Source organism: Homo sapiens, chromosome 1, assembly GCF_000001405.40.
Source record: "Homo sapiens chromosome 1, GRCh38.p14 Primary Assembly".
Lineage (NCBI taxonomy): Eukaryota > Metazoa > Chordata > Mammalia > Primates > Hominidae > Homo > Homo sapiens.
Genome location: NC_000001.11, coordinates 209435538 through 209459402, shown reverse-complemented (window position 1 = coordinate 209459402; position 23865 = coordinate 209435538). Strand labels below are relative to the sequence as shown.

General features: G+C 43.6%; 4 annotated features.

Annotated features, from left to right (window-relative positions):
* Positions 5437 to 6076: an enhancer, noted in NCBI's record as "OCT4-NANOG-H3K27ac hESC enhancer chr1:209626672-209627311 (GRCh37/hg19 assembly coordinates)". NCBI's record gives its function as "activates a minimal SCP1, AML or CMV promoter by ChIP-STARR-seq in primed H9 embryonic stem cells {active_cell/tissue: H9 hESC(primed)}" and the evidence as "EXISTENCE:reporter gene assay evidence [ECO:0000049][PMID:30033119]".
* Positions 6635 to 7314: an enhancer, noted in NCBI's record as "H3K27ac hESC enhancer chr1:209625434-209626113 (GRCh37/hg19 assembly coordinates)". NCBI's record gives its function as "activates a minimal SCP1, AML or CMV promoter by ChIP-STARR-seq in primed H9 embryonic stem cells {active_cell/tissue: H9 hESC(primed)}" and the evidence as "EXISTENCE:reporter gene assay evidence [ECO:0000049][PMID:30033119]".
* Positions 10038 to 10718: an enhancer, noted in NCBI's record as "OCT4-NANOG-H3K27ac hESC enhancer chr1:209622030-209622710 (GRCh37/hg19 assembly coordinates)". NCBI's record gives its function as "activates a minimal SCP1, AML or CMV promoter by ChIP-STARR-seq in naive and primed H9 embryonic stem cells {active_cell/tissue: H9 hESC(naive and primed)}" and the evidence as "EXISTENCE:reporter gene assay evidence [ECO:0000049][PMID:30033119]".
* Positions 10719 to 11399: an enhancer, noted in NCBI's record as "NANOG-H3K4me1 hESC enhancer chr1:209621349-209622029 (GRCh37/hg19 assembly coordinates)". NCBI's record gives its function as "activates a minimal SCP1, AML or CMV promoter by ChIP-STARR-seq in naive H9 embryonic stem cells {active_cell/tissue: H9 hESC(naive)}" and the evidence as "EXISTENCE:reporter gene assay evidence [ECO:0000049][PMID:30033119]".

Sequence of the window (23865 nt, the reverse complement as noted above, 5' to 3'; positions counted from 1 at the left end):
ACTTGATGTTTTTTCCTCCGTCACTGGAGAGAAGATGTGTTGGGCCATATTGTTTTTGACACAGCGCCTCAATTAGGTCTTAAAGAATAGGTAGCACATGCTCAATGAAATAGGAGATGCTACACTGATCTGGGGAGAATTTAGCAGCTTGGTTTGAGGTTTAAGTTTGATGTTCACCCGCCAGAGACCCACCAGTCAAAATAATTACATTTCTGTCTTCTCATAATATGATTTATTTAGGTGTTGCTTTATGAATTAATTCCCTCTAATTGCTGCTCCTCTCACTGTAAATCAAGGTTTCTTGCTTTCTGTAGTACGACGAACATGATCCTACAGTGCAGTAATTAGTCCAATTAGGAAGCAAGGCAGATGTGGAAAACCAATTAGTTTCAGGAATATGTCTGTGTCTATGTATCCCAGGCACTGTTCAATTGAAATTTAATAGCAACTTAATAAAACATTGTTTTATTCATAAACTATCTCTTCCTTCCAAGCTCCCATTTGTTTGTTTATCTGTTCATTTCTAGAGGAGCTAGTGCCAACGTGCTTCATGCTTGGCGAATCTCTTTCCATGCAGAGATTATTGTTATTTTCTCCCTGTGGTGAAAGTGAAGGGATCCTTATTTGTAGAAGGAGGCAAAGACTAGTGGTTTGGGAAAAGGGTGAGTTTTTGGCCTCTTCCCCCTCTTTATCTTAAATATAACCATCACTTGATTCAGGAACATAAACCAGGAGACAACAACAATACATTTTGTGCACACGCACACAAACACACACTCATACACACATACATGTACAGATACAGATACACATATGTATACATATACACATATATGAAGATGCACAAATATATGTAGACACACATACACATAATCCCTGTCATGACCCCTGGAAGCAACCCTGGGCTCAAGCTCACCTTGTGTCTATCAATCTCACTGAGGCTTCTGCTGCCTGAGTCTGGGTCTGACTCAAGGGACATCCCATTTCCTGAGGTTTATTCAATTGGGAAATGGGAACAAGATGAATTATTAAACCTATGGTTCCAAAAGATAATAACTTATTTCTCCAATTTCTGAAGTATTAACTCACAAAACACCAAAAAAACAAAAGGGTTTAACAATACAAACTGATTGTGCTCCAATTTGAGGGAAAGGACTGGATGTGACAGCACCCTGTTATGTGTGCAAACCATTTAATCCAGTGTAAAAAGAGGAAGAGGCTGATCCCAGCCCTTGATCTAGTTTAGAGTCTGAGGTTGAAGCAGTGTTCACAGTGAGGAACAACTGATATTTCTCTATTTGGTGAAGGACAAGAGGACATGGGGAACCCCATCGGTGGGTGGGCAGACAACTGGCTGACTCTCGTTGGTACCCCAGCCCAGTTCTCTCTGCAAAGTGGAAGGCAGGAAGGAGTCCCTTTCACTTTGCTGGAACAAAGCAAGTGTGGACAACATACAATCTGCGATAGAAAGAGACCTTTAGAGCGTGCAAAGTTCATTTTATTTCACAGAAGAATCAGAAGCCCTGAGAAGAGAAATGGCTTCCTTCCCCAAGGTGGCAGAGCTAAAATTAGCTCAAGAGTCTCTTGACATGCCATGCCATGTTCTGCACAGCATTCTGCTGCCTCTCTTTGGGGAACAAATCTCTAGTTCCAGAACATCTACATACAAGAGTTATTTTAAAAAATCTATCACCAAACAATCACAGTTACTGAAAATCCCTATTCACTGCTCAGTCTGATAGGTAAATTACCCAACTTTGATTTATGTAACTCATTATCATTGCACAGTCGCTGCAGTGATATGCTCCACTTGTCTCCTTGATCATTATGTGGCTGGGTTTCTCCATCCTGAAAGAAAGACCTTAATAATAACCAGCAAGGGTAACACAATTAGCAAGATGTGGCATTAACGTGTGCAGTTGGCCCTTTGTGTGTGCATGTGGGCATGCTTGTGTATGTGTTGGGGAGGTGAGGGTGTTGAGAATGTTCAAACCAATAGGTAACTAAGCCTATATTTTGGCAAGAACAACTTCTTTCCCTCCTGACCCAGGAGAAGGATGGGATATATGAAAGTTCTGTTTACATCCTCAGACAATTCAATCAGAGAACCCTTGGATGCAAGCTGGAGTGTGTGGGGCAAAGGAAGAGGGAATAATGTCAGTGTGGAAAGAAAGAGAAAGGATTGTGATAAATCTGTGGCAGATTTCAGAAGATGATTGCCTGGTGACCTGGGGGATAAGGTCATTCATCCCAGCTCGCAGAAAGTCATTATTGCTCTTCTGATTATACCTCTCCCTTGGGGGACATGTGACAGTGTTCAGGCTACAAATGCCTACCACTCTGGAGTGGATGACTCACCAACCTCAGCTGATTGAGGGGGTTAAAGTGGAAGCAGCAGGAGCAGAAATGCTCTCCTTGCCTTTCCTAGGCTTTCACTGGAAGAGGTAGTTTTTTGTGGGGGTGGAGGTGGTTAAAAAGGCAATTATCAATCAAACCAATGTAATTTTTTAAAAGTCTGTTGCAATATCTGAAAATTCAGTACAATTCAATTTGACAAATACTTATTAAAGGATACCCAACAGTTAAAAATAAGTGTATACTACACTGGAGCGTATGGGTTATTTAAAGGATTCGTGTCCTCAGAGGAGTTGACAGTCTATGCAGGCATAAGTCAATGGTCCAAGTATCTGTAAGACAAAGTAATATATGATGAGTGATACAGGAAGCATCCAAGTATGGTGAGGCAGAGAAAATGGTTGAGGCAATTAGGAAGCTTCTTGGGGAATGAATGTGTGAGCTGTATCCTGAAAAACGGGTGGGTTTTGGATAAGCAGAGAAGGGCATTGCAGGCAGGAGGAACAGCACAGGAGTCAAGCGGTGGTGGGAGAGCACAGATGACTTTAGGGAGTAGCAACTCTCCAGGTCATCTAGAACCACAATAGCAGTAAGCTGTGAATGTGGTTTGGTATGGAACATGGGGACCAAGGTACCTGCCCTGAGTTTAGTGGGCCCTGGGCAATGACAGAATCTTCAACCATATTCTTGGGACTTTTTCTAACACGGAAACCATTTCAGTGATTGATTCCATCTTCTCTGCTAAATGATTGTTTCAGAAAATGAAATGCATCAACCCATTGCAAATGACATATTTAATTCTATGCCCCTCACAGCTTTTATTAGATGAGTTTTCAAGCACACACCCCTTGCAGCCTTATCTACAATGGTAATATTGAGTTATTCATGAGTCCAAAGACTTGTAAACTATTGCTGTGAGGTAAGCGTTTGCAATAACAGAGCAGCATAATTTTTCTCTGTTACTAATAGGGGAGGGGAGGATAATAAAAATAAGAATTATTTAAGTTTCTTTCAGGGACCCCAAGGAGAATAAGGAGGCCACACTTTCTCTCGTGTCTGTTACTTGGAGAGAAATGGGAGCCAGGACAAAGACTCAAAGACTTCACGGCTCTCCCCAGGGCTCCCATTGATTGTGTGGAAGAGCTGCCTTTGGGGCATCTGCTTTCCCAAGCAATCAATGCAACAACACGAGTGAGAAATGAGTAACAGCAACTGCTTAGCATCCATTCTTCCTTGTAATTAATATCACGTGGCTGCACAGACAGCCAGGAGCTGTCTGGTGAGAAATGCTCATTCAGGGAAACCAAGCAACAAACAAACAGACATGAAAATGTGTTTTACACAATTCTTGGAAAATGCAAAAGGGAAGGGGCTTACCTCAAAGCTGTCTATAACTGAATTATCACTGGAGGTTTATGTTTGGTCTTTTTTTTCTTTTCCTCTGACAAATCAGCTCATATATTTTCTTGCAACTGAAACAAGCACTGTTTTAATTGTTCCATTAAAAGAGGTGTTGAAATGTTACTAATTGTCAAATGCAATTAAGTGTAGCAACATGTCACAGGTAAATTAACGAGAAGCCAGGTGCTTGGGGGGTGGTGCTTAGCATTCAAGGGGATGGGAATAATTGTTAGCCTCCCTGGAGGTGACTCCTGCTTGCCTAACCATGGAGCACTGTGCACTGAACTGGCCCCTGATCACAGCTTTTAAGTGTTTCTGACTCATCCGTGGCCATTTGCTGTGAGTCGTTTTTAGCTGCTCTGTCTCTCAAAGCTTGATGGTGATGCTGTGAGCAGGGTGTTGGTAATTTTAACAGGAAAAGACAATTGTTTTTCTTGAATAACCCAGAAAAAGGGAACAGTATTTGCAAAGAATCCAGAGGCTCACATCTGGAACTCTCTACCCATCCCCCTTCACATGCCATGACAGAGATAGAGGGCAACCATAGTGCCTGATTGTCCCATGAAGACATGTTGTGAAACCAGATGTCTCCCAAGATAAAAGCCAAAGATGAGCTGGAAAACACAGAGAGCTACAGAGAGCTGCACCCATAAGGTTAGAAGTGCCTTATGGACATGGTGCTGTTATCTCAGTAGGTTAGTTAGGTTTCACATTCCTTCATTTGATTTCCTATTTATTCGTTTATTCTTTCCACATGCTATGTGCAGTGGATCACACAGAAGTATAAAACATAACCTTATGCCCTCTACTTTCATTTTCAACTACAGTCACACACCACATAATGATATTTCAGTCATTGACAAACCACATATGCAACATTGGTCCCATAAGATTATAAGGGAGCTGAAAAATTCCTGTTGCCTAGTGACATAGCTTTCATAACATCATGGCTCAACACATAACTTTTTCCAAGTTTAGATACATTTAAATACACAAATACTTACCATTGTGTTACAGATGTCTGCAGTATTCAGTACAGTAACATGCAGTACAGGTTTGTAGCCTGGGAGTAATAGGCCATACCATATAGCTTAGGCGTGTAGTAGGCTATACCATCAAGGTTTGCAGATGTATGCTCTATGGTGTTTGCACAATGACAAAATCACCTAAAGATGCATTTCTCAGAATATGTTCCTGTTGTTAAGTGACACATTGAATGTATCTTATCTAGATTAAACACACACATTTTCAACTAGTTTGTAAGCTATTGACAGTAGGTACTGGGCCCTATTCTTTGAACCTGAAACACCTAGCACAGTGCCTGGCACGTATTAAGAACTCAGTAAGTATTTAATGAATAAACAAAAATAGAAGAGCAAGGCAGGAAAGGAAATTTCTTCGTGGGAAGAGGGTACACTAAGTTAGGTAGAAACGCCAAAATTTCCGTGGCAGGTGGTGCAAGAAGGAATTGAGTTCAATGAGGTAAAGATTTAAATGATAGTTACCAGAGAATGAGAAGGGTGTGTGTGTGTGTGGTGTGGGGGAGGGAATATGTAGGGATGAAGAGGGGTTGGTTAATGGGTACAAACATTAGCTGGATAGAAAGAATAAGTTCTAGTGTTCCATAGCATAGTAGACTGACTTTCACGTGTGTCCGTGTGAAGAGACCACCAAACAGGCTTTGTGTGAACAACATGGCTGTTTATTTCACCTGGGTGCAGGCGGGCTGAGTCCGAAAAGAGAGTCAGCCCAGGGAGATAAGGGTGGGGCTGTTTCATAGGATTTGGGTAGGTAAAGGAAAATTACAGTCAAAGGGGGTTTGTTCTCTGGCGGGAAGGAGTAGGGGCCACAAGGTGCTCAGTGGGGGAGCTTTTTGAGCCAGGATGAGCCAGGAAAAGGACTTTCACAAGGTAACGTCATCAGTTAAGGCAAGGACCGGCCATTTACACTTCTTTTGTGGTGGAATGTCATCAGTTAAGGTGGGGCAGGGCATATTCACTTCTTTTGTGATTCTTCAGTTACTTCAGGCCATCTGGGCGTATAGGTGCAGGTCACAGGGGATGTGATGGCTTGGCTTGGGCTCAGAGGCCTGACATTCCTGCCTTCTTATATTAATAAGAAAAATAAAACAAAATAGTGTTGAAGTGTTGGGGCGGTGAAAATTTTTGGGGGGTGGTATGGAGAGAGAATGGGCGATGTTTCTCAGGGCTGCTTCAAGCGGGATTAGGGGCGGCGTGGGAACCTAGAGTGGGAGAGATTAAGCTGAAGGGAGGTCTTGTGGTAAGGGGTGATATTGTGGGGATGTTAGAAGAAACATTTGTCATATAGAATGATTGGTGATGGCCTGGATACGGCTTTGTATGAATTGAAAAACTAAATGAAATAAGAGAAGGGGAAAAACGGGTATAAATGGTCTAAGAATTGGGAGGACCTAGAACATCTGATTAGAGAGTGCCTAAGGAGATTCAGCATAGTCCTGCCAGCAAAGATTATTTATTTACTTCAAGAGTTAAGAGTGGCAGTTTGGGGATAGCACCAGGAGATAGCTGTGATGGCTTGGAGAAACAGTGTAAACCGGCAGTGTAAACAAGAGCAGGGCATGTATGAGTAGTTGAGAACGGTGAATAGGAGTATGGCTAGACAGGAGATAGTAGGGATGACAAGTTTTTTTGGGGCACAGTCTAAGTTGGTCCAGTGTCTGGAATGAGACTGGGGCCTAATACAAAGGAGCTCAAATGGGCTGTACCTTGTAGCATTCCGAGGACAGGCCTGAATTCTGAGAAGTGAAAGTGGTAAAAGTATTGTCCAGTCCTTTTTAAGTTGGTTGCTGAGCTTGGTGAGGTGTGTTTCTAATAGACCATTAGTCTGTCACTGAATACTAAGAGCCTGAAAATATGCTTGGCTGATTTGACTAATAAAGGCTGGTCTGTTATCAGACTGTATAGAGGTGGGAAGGCTAAACTGAGGAATTATGTCTAACAGAAGGGAAGAAATGACTGTGGTGGCCTTCTCAGACCCTGTAGGAAAGGCCTCTACTTATTTTGAGGGCCTCTAAAAGTATTAAAGCAGCGGCACCTGCTGCACGCAGACATGAGGGCTAGGCTAAAACAGTAATGTCAAGTTGTTTGGACAGAAAGGCTACAGGGTGCGGTCCTGGCTCTTGTGTAAGAATTCTGACCGCACTAACCAGGCCTAGGAAGGAAAGGAGTTGTTGTTTTGTAAGGGATTGAGGTTTGGGAGATTAATCAGACACGATCAGCAGGGAGAGCACGTGTGTTTTTATGATAATTATGCCAAGATAGGTAACAGATGAGGATGAAATTTGGGCTTGACTGAAGTAATGGGGGCTGTCTGTGAAGCTTTGCGGCAGTACAGCCCAGGTAATTTGCTGAGCCTAATGGGTGTCAGGGTCAGTCTAAGTGAAAGCAAAGAGAGACTGGGATGAAGGGTGCAAAGGAATAGTAAAGAAAGCATGTTTGAGATCTAGAACAGAATAATGGGTAGTAGAGGGAGGTATTGAGGATAGAAGAGTATATGGGTTTGGCACCATGGGGTGGATAGGCAAAACAATTTGGTTGATAAGGCGCAGATTCTGAACTAACTCGTAAGCCTTGTCTGGTTTTAGGACAGGTAAAATGGGGGAATGGTAAGGAGAGTTTATAGGTTTTAGAAGCCCATGCTGTAGCAGGCGAGTGATAGCAGGCTTTAATCCTTTTAAAGCCTGCTGCGGGATGGGATATTGGCGTTGAGCAGGGTAAGGGTGATTAGGTTTTAATGGGATGGTAATGGGCATGTGATCGGTTGCCAGGGAAGGAGTACAGATGTCTCATACTTGTGGGTTAAAGTGGGGGGATATGAGAGGAAGACGCGAAGGAGGCTTTGGGTTGGGGAGAAGGGCGGCAATGAGATGTAGCTGTAGTCCAGGAATAGTCAGGAAAGTAGTTAATTTGGTTAAAATATCTCGGCCTAATAAGGAACTGGCAGGTGGGGATAACTAAAAAAGAGTGTTGTCCAAGTTGGCACCAGAGTTGGGGAGTTTTAAGAGGTTTAGAAGCCTGGCTGTCAATACCCACAACAGTTATGGAGGCAAGGGAAACAGGCCCTTGAAAAGAAGGTAATGTGCAGTGGGTAGCCTCCGTATTGATTAAGAAGGGGACGGACTTACCCTCCACTGTGAGAGTTACCCGAAGCTCGGCATCCGTGATGGTCTGGGGGCTTCCGAGGCGATCCGGCAGCGTCAGTCTTCAGCCGCTAAGCTGAGAAGATCTGGGAAGGAGTCAGAGAGCCTTGGGCCAGAGTTCCAGGGGCTCTGGGAGTGGCTGCCAGGTGAGTTGAACAGTCCGATTTTCAGTGGGGTCCCACACAGATGGGACGCAGCTTAGGAGGAATCCTGGGCTGCGGGCATTCCTTGGCCCAGTGGCCAGATTTCCCGCACATGTAGCAAGCTCCTGGGGGAGGAGGTTCTGGAGGAACGCCTGGCTGCTGCGGTTTGAAAGTTCTTGTGTGCTGGAGATGTGGCTGGGGTTTGTCTCACAATGGAGGCAAGGAATTGCAACTGTTTTTTTTTTATTATTATTGTACACCTTGAAGGTGAGGTTAATTAAGTTCTGTTGTGGGGTTTGAGGGCCAGATTCTAATTTTTGGAGTTTTATTTAATGTCGGGAGCAGATTGGGTAATAAAATGTATATTGGGAATAAGACGGCCTTTTGACCTTTTAGGGTCTAGGGCTGTAAAGTGTCTCAGGGTTGCTGCCAAACAAGTCATGAACTGGGCTGGATTTTTATATTTGATGAAAAAGAGCCTAAACGCTATCTGATTTGGGATAAAGAAAAAGGAGCATTAACCTTGACTATGCCTTTGGCTCCAGCCACCTTTTTAAGAGTAAATTGCTGGGCAGGTGGGGGAGGGCTAGTCATGGAACGAAACTGTAAGCCGGACCAGGTGTGAGGAGGGGAGGTGATAAAAAGATTATAGGGTGGAGGAGCAGAGGCTGAGGAAGAATTGGGACCTAGCTCGGCCTGGCGAGGAGCAGGCTGGGGAGGAAGGGAGAGGTCAGATGGGTCTGTAGAAAAGGAAGATTAGAAAGACTCAGCGACGCTTGGGGTTGGTACTGAGGGGACAGGCGGGAGGGAAAGAAGGAAGATTTGGGACGAGTTGCACTGGGCACAGAGACTAGGAAGGGACTGATGTGTAAAAGAATGCCTGGACGTCAGGCACCTCAGACCGTTTGCCTATTTTACGACAAGAATTATTTAGATTTTGCAGGATGGAAAAATTCAAAGTGCCATTTTCTGGCTGTTTGGAACTACTGTCGAGTTTGTATTGGGGTCAAGCGGCATTGCAGAAGAAAATAAGGCATTTAGGTTTTAGGTCAGGTGTGAGTTGAAGAGGTTTTAAGTTTTTGAGAACACAGGCTAAGGGAGAAGAAGGAGGAATGGAAGGTGGAAGCTTACCCATAGTGAAGGAGGCAAGCCCAGAGAAAAGAGCAGAGACACAGAGAAGGGGTGGGGGGTTCTTGCCCTCCAGGAAAGCAGAGAAGGGGTTGGGGCATGGAAATAAGGGATTGGGGCACAGAGATAAGAGGTCAGGGTGCAGAAATAAGGGATAAGAGATTGGGGCACAGAGATAAGAGGTTGGGGTGTGGAAATAAGCGATTGGGGGGTTCTTGCCCCCCAGGAAAGTGGGACTTGCCGCTCAGGGTGAAGGAGAAGGGGTTGAGGGGTACTTGCCCCTGCCCCAGGAAAGCGGGACTTGCCACTAAGGGTGAAGGAGAAGGGGTTGAGGGATACTTGCCCCTGCCCCAGGAAAGCAGGACTTGCCACTAAGGGTGAAGGAGAAGGGGTTGAGGGGTACTTGCCCCTCCCCCAGGAAAGCAGAGAAGGGGTAGAGACAAGGAGAGAAGGGGTTGAGGGGTACTTGCCCCTTCCCCAGAAAAGCAGGACTTGCCACTAAGGGTGAAGGACCAAGGCAGGCATCCCTGCATTGTCGGACACCCTTGAAACGTGGGTGTATAATCAGAGAGGTGTCCCTGCAATGATTAAACACCAAGGGAAGGCTGCCTTCCCAGTCCCTGACCGGTGCCGGAGTTTTGGATCCACGGATAAAATGCGTCTCCTTTGTCTCTCCCAGAAAATGAAAGGAATTGAAATTAAGAGAAGGGAGAGATTGAAGAGTGGAAAGGAGAAAGTGGTTGAGGGACAGTGAGAGAGGTTGGAGAAGAGAGTAAGAAGAGGCCACTTACCTGATTTAAAATTGGTGAGATGTTCCTTGGGCTGGTCGGTCTGAGGACCTGAGGTCGTAGGTGGATCTTTCTCATGGAGCAAAGAGCAGGAGGACGGAGGATTGATCTCCCAAGGGAGGTCCCCCGATCCGAGTCACAGCACCAAATTTCATGCGCGTCCGTGTGAAGAGACCACCAAACAGGCTTTGTGTGAGCAACATGGCTGTTTATTTCACCTGGGTGCAGGCGGGCTGAGTCCGAAAAGAGAGTCAGCCCAGGGAGATAAGGGTGGGGCCGTTTTTATAGGATTTGGGTAGGTAAAGGAAAATTACCGTCAAAGGGGGTTTGTTCTCTGGCGGGAAGGAGTAGGGGTCGCAAGGTGCTCAGTGGGGGTGCTTTTTGAGCCAGGATGATCCAGGAAAAGGACTTTCACAAGGTAATGTCATCAGTTAAGGCAAGGACCGGCCATTTACACTTCTTTTGTGGTGGAATGTCATCAGTTAAGGTGGGGCAGGGCATATTCACTTCTTTTGTGATTCTTCAGTTACTTCAGGCCATCTGGGCGTATAGGTGCAGGTCACAGGGGATGTGATGGCTTGGCTTGGGCTCAGAGGCCTGACACTGACTATAGTTAATGATGTATTGTGTATTTCAAAATAGCTAGAAGAGATTTGAAATGTCTCCAACACAAAGAAATGATAAATGTTCAAGGTAATCCTAAATACTAAATCAGGATACCCTAAATAGCCTGATTTGATCATTACACATTATATGCATGTATCAAAATATCACATCTACCACATGAATATGTACAAATATTATGTATCAAGAAGGAAGGAAGGAAGGAAGAAGGAAGGAAGGTGAAAGGAAAGGAATTAGTTCAGTGAGAGAATCACAACATAGATACCTGGAATTCTTGGGCAAGGCTGTATTATCTGTAACAGAGAATTACATACCATTTGAAAAACAGCTCATAAAGTGTTAATGCTCCCCATAGGGCTGGAATGCTTGATCATCAGACATTAAGTTAGCATGCATTTGGGATTGGCCATCATAAGCTAAGTTTGTTCAGAGCCACCAAGTCATAAGGTCAGGAGGGCCTGGCTTTCTGAGGGCCTGGCTTTCTTATGATGGAAGTGATATATCTAGAATTGTACACAGACAGGACCAAAAGGCACAAGCAAGCTGCGCTATCAGGTGGCCCAGGTCTCATGACCTCTGCCACAGTTACACCAGAACCTTTTCCTCAGCTCACATATGTGGCTACACATGGTATTCCCTATGATCTGTTGATGAAAGAAGAAAAAAACCTGATTGTGATTCATGGATGGGTTGGCTTAGTTGTGGGTATGTTTGGTAGCTGAACTATAGCTCCACTCAGGGTGAGATTGAAATGGGAGAAAATCTTCATAGTGGGAAGAGCTAAGGAAGCCCACCTAATCATCCAGTTTGTGTGTAAAAACAAGTGTTCCAAGGCTAGAATATATGTGGACTCATGAGTTATGGGGAGTGGGTAGGCTGGCTAAGTAGGAATTTGGATATAACAAGACTGGGGCTGGGTGCAATGGCTCATGCCTGTAATCCCAGCACTTTGGGAGGCCGAGGTGGGAGGATCGCTTGAGATCAGGAGTTCGAGACCAGCCTGGACACCATGGTGAAACCCCGTCCCTACTAAAAATACAAAAATTAGCTGGGCGTGGTGGCAGTGCCTGTAATGCCAGTGACTCGGGAAGCTGAGACAGGAGAATCGCTTGAACCCAGGAGGTGGAGTTTGCAGTGAGCCGAGATCGTGCCACTGCATTCCAGCCTGGGTGACAGAGCAAGATTCTGTCTCAAAAAAAAAAAAAAAAAAAAAAAAAAAAGGATTGGAAGATTGGGACAAGGAGGTATGGGCTAGGGGCATGAAGATAGACATATGGAAGCAGGCCTAAAGTGTGAAGATTTTTATATCACATTTTTTATGCCTATTGGAGCACATTCTACCACAGAACAGATATTACAGAACCAAGTATGCTGAAAGGATCTATTATTGGCCACTCCTGTGTTGGCAAAATGGACCAATGAATATGAATCATGCTGGCAGGGTTGGAGGCTGCCCATGGGCACAGCAGCATGAACACCCAAGGCTGATTTATCTACTGTCACTGTCTAATGACCAACCTGCTAGCAACAGAGAACGACAGATTCAACACCATCCCTCAAGGAGAACAACTGGCCACTTGGTGGCAAGTTGACTATATTGGATCTCTTCTACTTTGGAAGAGGCGGCACTTTATTTATTTATTTTTCCTTCAACTTTTAAGTTCTGGGTTACGCGTGCAGGATGTGCAGGTTTGTTACACAGGTAAATGTGTGCCATGGTGGCTTGCTGCACAGATCATCCCATCACTTAGGTATTAAGTCCAGCATTCATTAGCTATTCTTCCTGATGCTCTCTTCCTCCCCACCCACCTCTGACAGACCCCAGTGTGTGTTGTTCCCCTCCATGTGTCCCTGTGTTCTCATCATTCAGCTCCCCCTTATAAGTGAGAACATGCAGTGTTTGGTTTTCTGTTCCTGTGTTAGTCTGCCAAGCAAGGATAATGGCTTCCAACTCCATCCATGTCCCTGCAAAGGACATGATCTTGGTCCCTTTTATGACTGCATAGTATTCCATGGTGTATATGTACAACATTTTCTTTATCTAGTTCTATCATTGGTGGGCATTTAGGTTGATTCCATGTCTTTGCTGTTGTGAATAGGAGGCAGCACTTTATTTTGACATGAATATACACATATTCCAGATATGGATTTGCCTGTCATGCCAACAGGATCACAGCCAGCATCACTATTGGAGGCTTGTAGAGTACCTAATCCATTGGCACAGGATTTCACATAACATGGCATCAGTACATGGGACATACTTTACTGCCAAAGAGTTGAGTTGGTGAGCACTTGACGGGGAATCTGCTGATCATATCACATACTACACCACCTAAAAATGCTGGCCTGATAGAGTGATGCAATAACCTACTCAAGGCACACAGTAGTGCCATCTCAGGGGATGTGGTGCTATCTTTCAGGAAACAGCATATACCTTAAATAAAAAATTTTATACAGTGCTATGCACCTAATATGTAGGATTCATAAGTATGGAAACCAAATGGTAGAAACCAGAGCCCCACTCCTAGTGAGCCACTTGGGGAACATGGGCTTCTCATCCCCAGAACTCAAAGCTCTGCGTATATAAAAGTTCCACCTTCTTTTCTTTTTTTTGACGGAGTCTGGCTGTTTTACCAGGCTGGAGTGCAGTAGTGCAATCTTGGCTCACTGCAACCTCCGCCTCCCAGGTTCAAGCGGTTCTCCTGCCTCAGCCTCCCAAATAGCTGGGACTACAGGCACATGCCACCATGCCAAGCTAGTTTTGTATTTTTAGTAGAGATGGGGTTTCGCCATGTTGGCCAGGATGGTCTCGATATCCTGACCTCGTGATCCGCCGGCCTTGGCCTCCCAAAGTGCTGGGATTACAGACAGGCATGAGCCATCGTGCCAGGCCTCCATTTTCTAAAGGAAAAAATACTGCTGCCAAGGGACACAGCAGGCACCTGGCTGAATTATAAACTATTACTGCTTTGGCACTTCAAACTCATTGTGCTTAGGAACCAGCAGGCAAGAAGAGGAGTCACTAGTTGGCTAGAGTGATTTACTCTGGTCAGCAGGAAGAGGCAGGGCTGCTAGGAGCAGAGGGAATTAGGTTTGATACTCAGATGATCCACTTGGGCATCTTTTGAGACTCTCTTGACCAATTTTAGAAGGATGTGCAGCAACCTTGGCCTGAGGAGGGCATGGTAACCAGGAGTACAGATCCTGTTAGGGTCTAGCTCATGCCACCAATAGGATAGCAAAAGCAGCAGGGATACTAGCTGAGAGTAAGGGGATCTATAATGGATAACAGAGGATGGTGAGAATGTCAATTGTAGCTCCAAAGCCAATTGCCATGGTGGGGACTGTAGGCGATCCCACTGACCTTCATCTTCCAAGTTCCCTCCCCAACCAGGGGTTTACAAGAATGCTGGAGGAACTGCTCCTAGGACTTTGGTGAAGAAGTGGATCCAAATGGTGTAAGAGGTGCACTGTGCCGCGTGCTGTGATATGTTGCTCAGATCCCCTTTTGGGAATGAAGAATTAATTACCCCAGCTGCTGTGGTGGGTGCTGCTGGCAGATGACCCTCAGTTGTCAGCACTTCTGAGGGGATTGTCTCAACCTGAGAAAACAGACTCAGCTGAGGTCATGCCTTCTTCCAGGGGCCACCCACATGCAATGACTTATCATCATGGGGTTATAACAGCTCAGCCCATTCACCCCCAATGCAGGATAACTCTGAAGAGACACTTGAGCTCCAGAAGTTTCTGTGAATCTTCTGAAGTTGTCATTCGATCCACATCATATCTCAACTTCTCCCCCTGCCCAAACCTGTTTTCTTCCTCTCTTTCTATAGGTTTTGAATCATGAGAAATCTTTAAATGACATCTCTGTCTCATATTCTGCTTGCTGAGAAACTACTGCAAACACCTATCTTGCAAACTCCACCACTATTATTACCATCATTGGGTTGCCCTTCTCTCCGCAGTCCACATTCCTTGCTGCCTAGAACAGTCAATAGCAAATAATTTCCTTCCATATTATAATTATGGTCTAGTTTACCCTTTGGTTTCAGGTCTTGCTCAAAGACCATCACCAAGTAAGCTTCCCTGATTGATCTTTTTCTATTCTGATCCAACTTTAAAATGTGGGTCCCACATCCCCATCCTCTGGTGTTCTGTACCCTCTGGCATTGTGTTTGTTGCATTACAGTGCAGTGACTGTTTATGAGTCTGAATTTCTTCCTCCACAGTGAACTCCTAAATGCTGAGGACATGACCATGCAATTTTCCTCTTTCCAGCCCTGGTACCTAACACCGTGCCTGACTCATTGTGGCCTCTCAATCCGTGTTTGTTGCAGAATGAAATGCATTTGGATTTTACTGCTGGGAAAACAAGGACAGGCAGTCTGAACAGAGTTGTCATCATTGTCTAATTATTCTTGGGTGTGTACCTGCTTATTCAATTTAAGAGAAAGCTCCTGACGTTGCAGAGAAGGTGCTTTTTCATTTACTAGTAATTTTTCTATCTTCCTATAGAGAATGGTGCTCTCTTTTTCTCTTCTTTTCTCAGTAGGACCTGAGTAAACACTAATAGACTCACTGTAACAGGAGTGTAGAACAGAGCCTGGGTTGGCCCCAGGCAAAGTTGCAAAACAGCAGACATTTATCTTCAGTTCTTCACCATTTCTTTTCTATGTTCTTTCCCCACTTCCAGCACTCCATTATCTCTGCTATTTTATTCTCCTCAGAAAGCTTAGTTCTAGGAAAAGGACTGATTTAGTCATTTATAGCTTGGTGTGACTTTAAGTCAGTATGCTGTCTCTTCCTGGAGTACTTGCACTTTTGCCTCACTTCTGATTCAAGAACAAAAGTCTCCATAAAAAGTCTAAAGGGCTCTCTGCCTTCCCGTCAGAGTATCTGTTTTTGTTTTAAATTGCATTTTTGAAAAATAGTGCCATTATTTGACTCATATTTTCTTCCCCCTTCTATTGTATCCTCAAGGAGGGTAGGGACCTGTTTCTGTTTTGTTTTTGGCATTGTATCTCAGCACTCAGTATAGTGCTTTGTATACCATGAGTAATTTATAAATGATGACAAATGCACATTTATAAATAATTGTATCATATAAGTAAATTTATAAATAATGGTTGAATAGTTGGGCAGGTGTTTTAGAAGTAGGTGGAGAAGCTCCGCCCCAGAGATTCCCACTGAGCTTACATCATCTGGCTCTCACCTCCTGTTTGCTCCGGGGCTACGCCCCTTGCTGTTTCTTACGTGAGCCTTCCACATTACCAGAAGCAATGGGTGGGAAGAGTAGAAGAGGCTGAAGCATGAGGAAAATTGTCAGTTCTGAAGCCCTGGAAAGAAGCCCCTGCTGGGTGTCCAGGAGGGTGAAGATACTAAAGCATGGCAAGCATGGGGTGCTTTACTTGGGAAGGACCCTAGACGTCTTCCAGCTCAAGGGACTGAGACATACAGAAGTTAGGGGACTTAAACAGGGCCACTGTGTTCATTTGCTAGAGCTGCCATGACAAATTGCCACAGACTGGGTGACTTAAACAACAGAAATCGATTTTCTCATAGTCCTGGAAGCTACAGGTCTAAGATCAAGGTATTGTCAGGGTTGATAACCTCTGAGGCCTCTCTCTGTGACTTTAGACGACTGTCTTCACATGGGTTCCTCTGTGCGTATCTGAGTCCTGATCTTTTTTCTTTTTCTTTCTCTTTTGTTTTAGTGATGGGGTCTCGCTCTATTGCCCAGGCTGAAGGGCAGTGGCACGATCTCGGCTCATTGCAACCTCTGCCTCCTGGACTCAAGCGATTCTCTTGCTTCAGCCTCCTGAGTAACTGGGATTACAGGCACACACCATCACACCCGGCTAATTTGTGTATTTTTAGTAGAGATGGGGTTTCTCCATGTTGGCCAGGCTGATCTCAAACTCCTGACCTCCAGTGATCTGCCTGCCTTGGCATCCCAAAGTGCTGGGATTACAGGCACGAGCCACAAATCTTTTATTCTTATAAGGACACCAGTCACAGTGGATTAGAACCCAGTCATATGACCCAATTTAAACTTAATTACCTCTTTAAAGGACCTATCTCCAAACACAGTCACATCAACATATGCGAGGTAGGACATCAACATATGATTTTTGGGGGAAGAGAATTCAGCCCATTATAGTCACCAGGCAAACAGAGGCAGTATAGACCAAGGGTTAAATGTACTATGTGTAGAGACAGACTAGATTTGGAACTCTGACACTGCCACTTAAAATCATGTGGGCCAATTTTTCAATCTCTTGATACCTTAGTTTCCTCTTCTGTTACATAAAAATAAAAATAATTATGGCACCAGCCCTGTTAAATGAGATGATGTATGCAAAGTACAATGTGTAGATGTTGCCAGTATTTAATAACTGCCAGTAGTAGTAGCTATTGAGTTTGTGTTGTTACTGTTGTTATTATTAGTTTCCTTTCCTTTTCTTTTTTCTTTTTTTTTTTGAGACAGAGTCTTGCTCTGTCACCCAGGCTGGAGTGCAGTGGCACGATCTCGGCTCACTGCAACCTCTGCCTCCCAGGTTCAGGTCATTCTCCTGCCTCAGCCTCCCAAGTAGCTGGGATTACAGGTGCATACTACCATGGCTGGGTAATTTTTATATTTTTAGTAGATGTGGAATTTTGCCATGTTGGTCAGGCTGGCTTGAACTCCTGGGCTCAAGTGATCCACCAGCCTCAGCCTTCCAAAGTGTTGGGATTACAGGCATGAGCCACTGCTCCCTGCCTATTAGTTTCCGTTTCTGTAAAATAGGGCTAATTGAAGTGTCCACCTACTTCTTAGAGTTGTGAGGATTGCATGAGATAATGCATAGTGAAGAGCTTATATATCCCCTGGCACAGGGCAAGACCTCAAAAAATATTAGTTGTGGTCATTGTCTTCATGAGACAAGAACAAGTTTTCCAAAATCCTGTAGCTTCCTTTCATGCTACTAAATAGGATCTGACATAGCAAAATTGTCTGTGTATTTCATAAGATGCAGATTTTCTTATTTGATTAGTTTTCAAAAGAAAAGCCACCTATTTCATGCAGGTACTCTTATATCAATTATTAAAACCTGAAATGAAGTAACACAGGAGCACACACAACTTATAGCTAAATTTTTTTTTAGCCATAGGAAGGTGGGATCTGCGTTCTGAATTACATGGTAGAAAAATGTTCCGGTTCAATGTGGGTGATTAACTGTTTGATATCTTGTCAGGCTTTGACAGTTCTCCCTCTGTTTTACACCTCTTACTATGTCTCGTGTAATTAAGAAATGGTACTGAGTTCTTGTCATCCACCATTAAGGAGTAGTCACAGATAGTTTCATAACATCTGCTTTTTGCAACCTTCTAATTATCCATAAAAATCTGGCAGAGAGACCTGACAGTTTATCCAGAACATAGAATATGAATGCAAAATAAGATCTTTGCTTCTACATACAGAGTGATGGTATAAAAAAGATACTATCTAACCTCTTATTTTGCATGCAGCTATGTTGCCTGTTTAAATCAGAGTTAGGTGCATGTCTTCTCAATAAAGACTCAATTTTAAAAAGCATTTTTTGACAAATTGAATGTGGGTCAGGAATACACTAATGATGCTGTGTCAGAATCTGTTGTCAGTTGCTGCCCCATTACTCTCCTTAGAATCCATTCAAAAACAGTTACTTCTCTCCCCTTATCTGCAAGCTTTGAGCTGCCCATACCCTGATAGGAAGAACTGAGGAACTCCTGACTGGTCCAGATGCTTGCCTCTAGCAAGGTCAACTCTCAGCCTCCTCTTGCTCGTTTCTGGTAGTGGGTGCCTGTCTTGTCCACCAACTTGCCTCGCTTTCTGATTCATTACCTGACCTTGATTCTGGGAAACGCACTTTCTGAACTCTTACACTGTGTGTCTTTAGTCTGTTGAAACACTATATTATTTTGACTTTTGGCCATAGCATATCTTCTTTCTACCTACACCTTCAAAATCCATTTGGACCCATAAATAACTTTTTTTTTCCTGCCCTTTGGTTTTAAATCCACAGATGCCTATCTGAACATTTTCTTCTTCTTTTCTTTCTTCCTTTCTTTATCTTTTTTTTTTTTTTTTTTTTTTTTTTGGTGAGACAGAGTCTCACTCTGTCCCCCAGGCTAGAGTGCAATAGTGTGATCTCAGCTCACTGCAACCTCCGCCTCCCCGATTCAAGTGGTTCTCCCACCTCAGCCCCCCTAGTAGCTGGGACTACAGGCATGCACCACCATGCCCAGGTAATTTTTGTATTTTTAGTAGAGACAGGGTTTTGCCATGTTGACCAGGCTGATCTTGAACTCCTGACCTCAGGTGATCTGCCTGCCTCAGCCTCCCAAAGTGCTGGGATTACAGGCATGAATCACTGTGCTCAGCCTGAACATTTTATTTTAGACCTCTACTTTGTTAACATCTAGTCCTTCTGTGTCTTGTAATTTCCTTATGGCTATGACCTCATAGCCTTGCCTCAGCCCTCCTTGTCCTCCTGTCTTTTCTTTTCTCTGTTTAGTAGGGGGAAAATAATCCTTCCTCTACCCTTTTAGGTTCATTGGCTGGGGCCCACAAGTCAAACTAATTAATAGCAGATTAACAGAAGAAGAAAACACTTAATTGGGTAGGTATGCACAGAAGTTCATAAAGAAATGTGAAAGAAGGAGATTAGAATTCAGAACTTATATACTATCTTAACAAAGGGTGATAAAATGTGGAGAAAAAGTTAGACAAGGGAAAAGGAGTTTGGGCTCCTGTGGTGGGGGTAAGTTGTGGGAAGATGTTTAGAAAAATGTATGGTAATTAAGAGTTGTGTAATGAGGTCCGATAAGTCATCTCAGGTAATAAGTGTTGCCGCTAGAACAGTTATCTTTCTGGTACAACACAGGGAGGCACACTTACAACTGGAAATTTATGTTACCTTTACAAACGAAAAAATTTATGTTGTTCTTAGGCAGTTAAGGGGAGAGAAAAATAACTTTTCCTATGTCTGCTTCTTCTCACTTGCCTTCAAGTCAAAATAATTCTCTTGCCAAGTTGGTATATTTGAGATGGCATGTTCTGATCCTCTTCAGTATCCTACTACAATTGAGATACATAAAAATAATTATTTTCATATTTATCATTCATGAAGTACTTTTTGTATGTGAAATGACTTTGAAAGGTGAAAGGTAGGGACTTTGTTTTGCCTTGTAACATTTTACAAACTGAAGCACAGATTTACTGTTTTGCTGAAGGCCACAGACACTGGATTTGAACCTAGATCTATCCTGCTTCAGCTTAAGTTCTTCCCACCCAGTCACTGACTTTCTGATCCGACATCACTGCTTGGCATGTTCATTTATTGATGGAGTTTGTTTCTCCAGTAAACACTGGAAAAGAAAAGTAGCTAAACATTATAACTATCCTTTAAAAACATATTTATATTCAATATTTAATTTTTAAATTTTTTCAGCTCTACAGATTCCATTCCCAAAAAAAAAAAAAAAAAAAAAAAAAGAACGGAAGCACTGAGTTTTAGAGTGATGATAAATCTACATGGTAAAGTTAATGAGAGAGGAGTAGCTTCTCAGCACAGCAATAAAGTGACTTGTTAGAAACAACACTAGACTAAGAGGCAGAAGAAATTGGGTCAGTTTAAGGCCTGGCCCAGAATCTTGACTTTTGGTAAATTACTTAACTCCTTTCTTCTTAAATCTTGAAAATTGCCCACTAAGTTTAGGTCTGGATTTTCTGGCGGCGAAAGTGTACTCATGGTTACTTGCTCCAGGTTGGTTGTCACTTGTCGAACTACTTGAAGTTGCTTTATCTTAGTTTCTGGGTCACAAACGTTTCATTTCTCAGTAACCTACCTCACATATTAGGTGTTAGGGCACTTTTACTATTCTAAACCACTGGTGTTTCCTGAATAGGGATCACCCGGCCATTTCCACATTCAGAAAAGGCCCCATCTTCTTCATCATTTGTCAGAGCCTTTGCTGCTGTGACAAGCCAAGCATACCCTCCTGTGGCCTTCTCTGGGCCTCTCCCGTCTCCCCAGATTGGCTAAGACACCAGTGACTTGAAAGAGAAGCCAAAGGAAAAGGAGAGACACCAAGATGAGACATGAGTCTGGGCCTCCTGCTAAACTGAGAGGAATAGTGTAGGAGAACCGGGTTTTGAACCTTGAGCCCCCTAAGCCTTTGCTATTCACAGTGTGATCCAGGCATCACAGTAACATCACCTGGGAGCTGGTGATAAGGGCTGAATCTAAGGCCCCATCCCACATGTGCTGAATCAGAATCTGCATTTTTACAAGATTCTCAGGTAAATTGTAAGCATATTAAAGTTAAAAAAAAAAAAAACGTCATTGATTAATGAATCCATAGCAACTTTCAAAATTAGCTCTGAGTGGCAAGAAATGTTAAATAGAGCCCCCGTGGAGGGGCATAGGAAAGTTGCTGCCATTGCTGGGAAGGACTTGACTCAGGAAGGAGGGAGCCTGGATCTAATTGCAGTAGATAAATTGACTCAGCTAAAAGCCAGGCGTTCAGGAGGGCAAAGTGGAATGATGTGGGCTTCTGAGGTGAGGCCTTTAACAGTTGGATTATAATGCAATGTGCCATAATGGCATAGTAATGAAATGTAATTTATATGGTTCTGTTATTAAAAGGGACACTTTCTTTGTTCAAGGCTTTCTTCCTTCTTAGAAGGCAGATGGTCACAGGGTAAGGTAATGAGACAAAAGGAACTCATTCCGTAAAATGTCTTAGTTTCTCCTTTGGCCTGCTTTTTGTCTATTTTCAGGTGAGGATCTCCCTCATGTTGGCAACTTTGCCAGGTGAGTGTTCTCCAGCCAAGAACTTCATACTTTAAAATTAGCTGGATACTTAAAGGAGGGAGTGGTAATATGAAGCCAGGTGTCCAAGGGGTCCAGGTGACATAACGGTCCCCAGTCTCATCTCTGAAAGGTCTTGGGGAGTGACCTCCAGTCTGGGGATGACACTCCTGGTGTCAGAGCTGCCTCAACTTTGGAAATTTCTTTGATGGAACCCACAGGATGGGGCTTCATCAAGAAGCTGCTTCTCCATTGCTAAGCTCAGTGCCCACGCCACAGCAACATGATTGCATCCTCCTCCCTGATCACTGGTTTGCTATTTCTTGCTTGATTTCTATTGATTCTTCTACTTTCTTATGTGCTCAGAATTTTCTTTTTGGCCAGGCACAGTGGCTCACACCTGTAATCCCAGCGCTTTGGGAGGCCAAGGCAGGCAGATCACCTGAGATCAGGAGTCCGAGACCAGCCTGGCCAACATGGCCAAACCCCATCTCTACTAAAAATACAAAAATTAGCCGGGCATGATGGTGTATGCCTGTAGTCCCAGCTACTTGGGAGGCTGAGACAGGAGAATCGCTTGAACCCAGGAGTAGGAGGTTGCCGTGAGCCGAGATCATGCCACTGTACTCCAGCCTGGATGACAGGGTGAGACTCCATCTCAAAAAAGAAAACAAAAAACAAAAACAAAACAAACAAACAAAAAACCAACTTTTTTTTTCTTTATTAGCTCTTCACCAGCTTCTTTCTCACCAGTACTTTTCACCTGCCTTCAGAAAAATAAAGTAAAAATTTGAAATGGCACTTACCCTGGAAAAATTGTTGTATCTTTCTCATTGATCTTATGACAATTTTAAAAAAGAAAACTCTCAAGGCTCCTACAGTATGATACATATACTAAATGTAAAGGTAAACAAAGCAATGAAAACTCTCCTAAAAGGAAGGTGATGGGAGGAGGAGATAATTGTGATAAAAGTTAAGGTTGGCCTGAAGGTGTGACTAAATGGCACAGTAAGTTTAATGCTGGATTTCTGGCAGCCAAAGGTGTGCCTATGCTTACTTATTCCAGCTGAGTGGGCACTAGACAAGCTTCTCGAAGATACTTTTACTTGATACTGAGATTACCATCATCAATAATATTTTTGAGTGCAAGAAATTTACTAGGCCTAGGCACTTGCTAACATGTTTGCATGCATTATCTTACCTAATTCTCATGCTATCATTAAGAGATCGGATAGAGTAGTAGCTCCAAGTGTGAACTCCAGAGTCAGGGAGCCCAGGTTGGATCTTAGCTTTGCCACTCGCAGGCTATGTGATCTTGGGCTGGTCCCTTACCCTCTCTCCTCCATAAAACAGAAATATCAGTCATACCTTAAAATGGCTGGAGACATTAAATGATTTAATATACACAAAGCATGCAGTGTCTGGCTCTTAGTAAGTACTTGCTATTATTATCATTATTTCTATTTGACAGATAAGGAAATTGGGTCTTAGAGAGGTTAAGTGGCTGGCCCAAAGTCCCACAGCCATATCAAATTGGCAGCAGATCTAATTTGATCCCCTCTTAACCACTTCACATGCTGACTCAGAAGCTTTGGGCTGCTCTTGGCAACCTCTTGGGTGCAAATAAGAAATTCCTCAGTATTCTCCTTGAGCAGTCAATGTTCCATTATCTTTGGTGAGAGTTTCTCGTCTATGGATTATCTTCAGGGAACTTCTTCCAGGTGTTTGGCTTGGTGAGTCCACTGGGATAGTGTCTATTTTCAATGCGACTTTAAGTAAAGTTTAAATAATGTGGGAATTGCATTAAACATTATAGTGTGTATTTGTTTATCTATGGATTCTATTTATTTATATTTATTCTGAGCCACCCATCTCTTCCCAAACACAATTGAAAATAGCAGAAATTTAAGTCAATTGCTACTACATTTAAAGTCCACTTCAATGTCACATCCCCTAGAAAGATGCCTTCCTTGTTTTTTCCCATGATCTCAGAATACACAGGTCTCTCTAGACCTGGGTAGTGACGTTGAGGTCCAATGTGGCTGTATTTCCCCCACTGCCCACCAGGTGTCCCACCGGTCCCTGCTATCTGACAGGCAGCAGGAAAAATGGCCATCTTCACCCCTCCAAAAGGTTCCCAGGATTTGAAGGCGGATGGTGGAGAGATTGTGGGGAGGAGGGAGGGAGGCTATGACGAGACTCCCAGATGCTGCTTCTTGTCCCCAGACAAAGAGAATTTTTCACATTATTTTTCTTTGATGTGTAGGTGTCTCTCCAGAAAGCCCAGCCAGTTCCCTGCAATTTAGGAAGCTTTTATTTCCACTAATGAACTGGTGTCTGGCCAGGGCTTTTCATCTCTGAGCTTGAGGTTGGGGCTGCTGTCTGCCTCCTGTTCCTTTTGCCTGAGA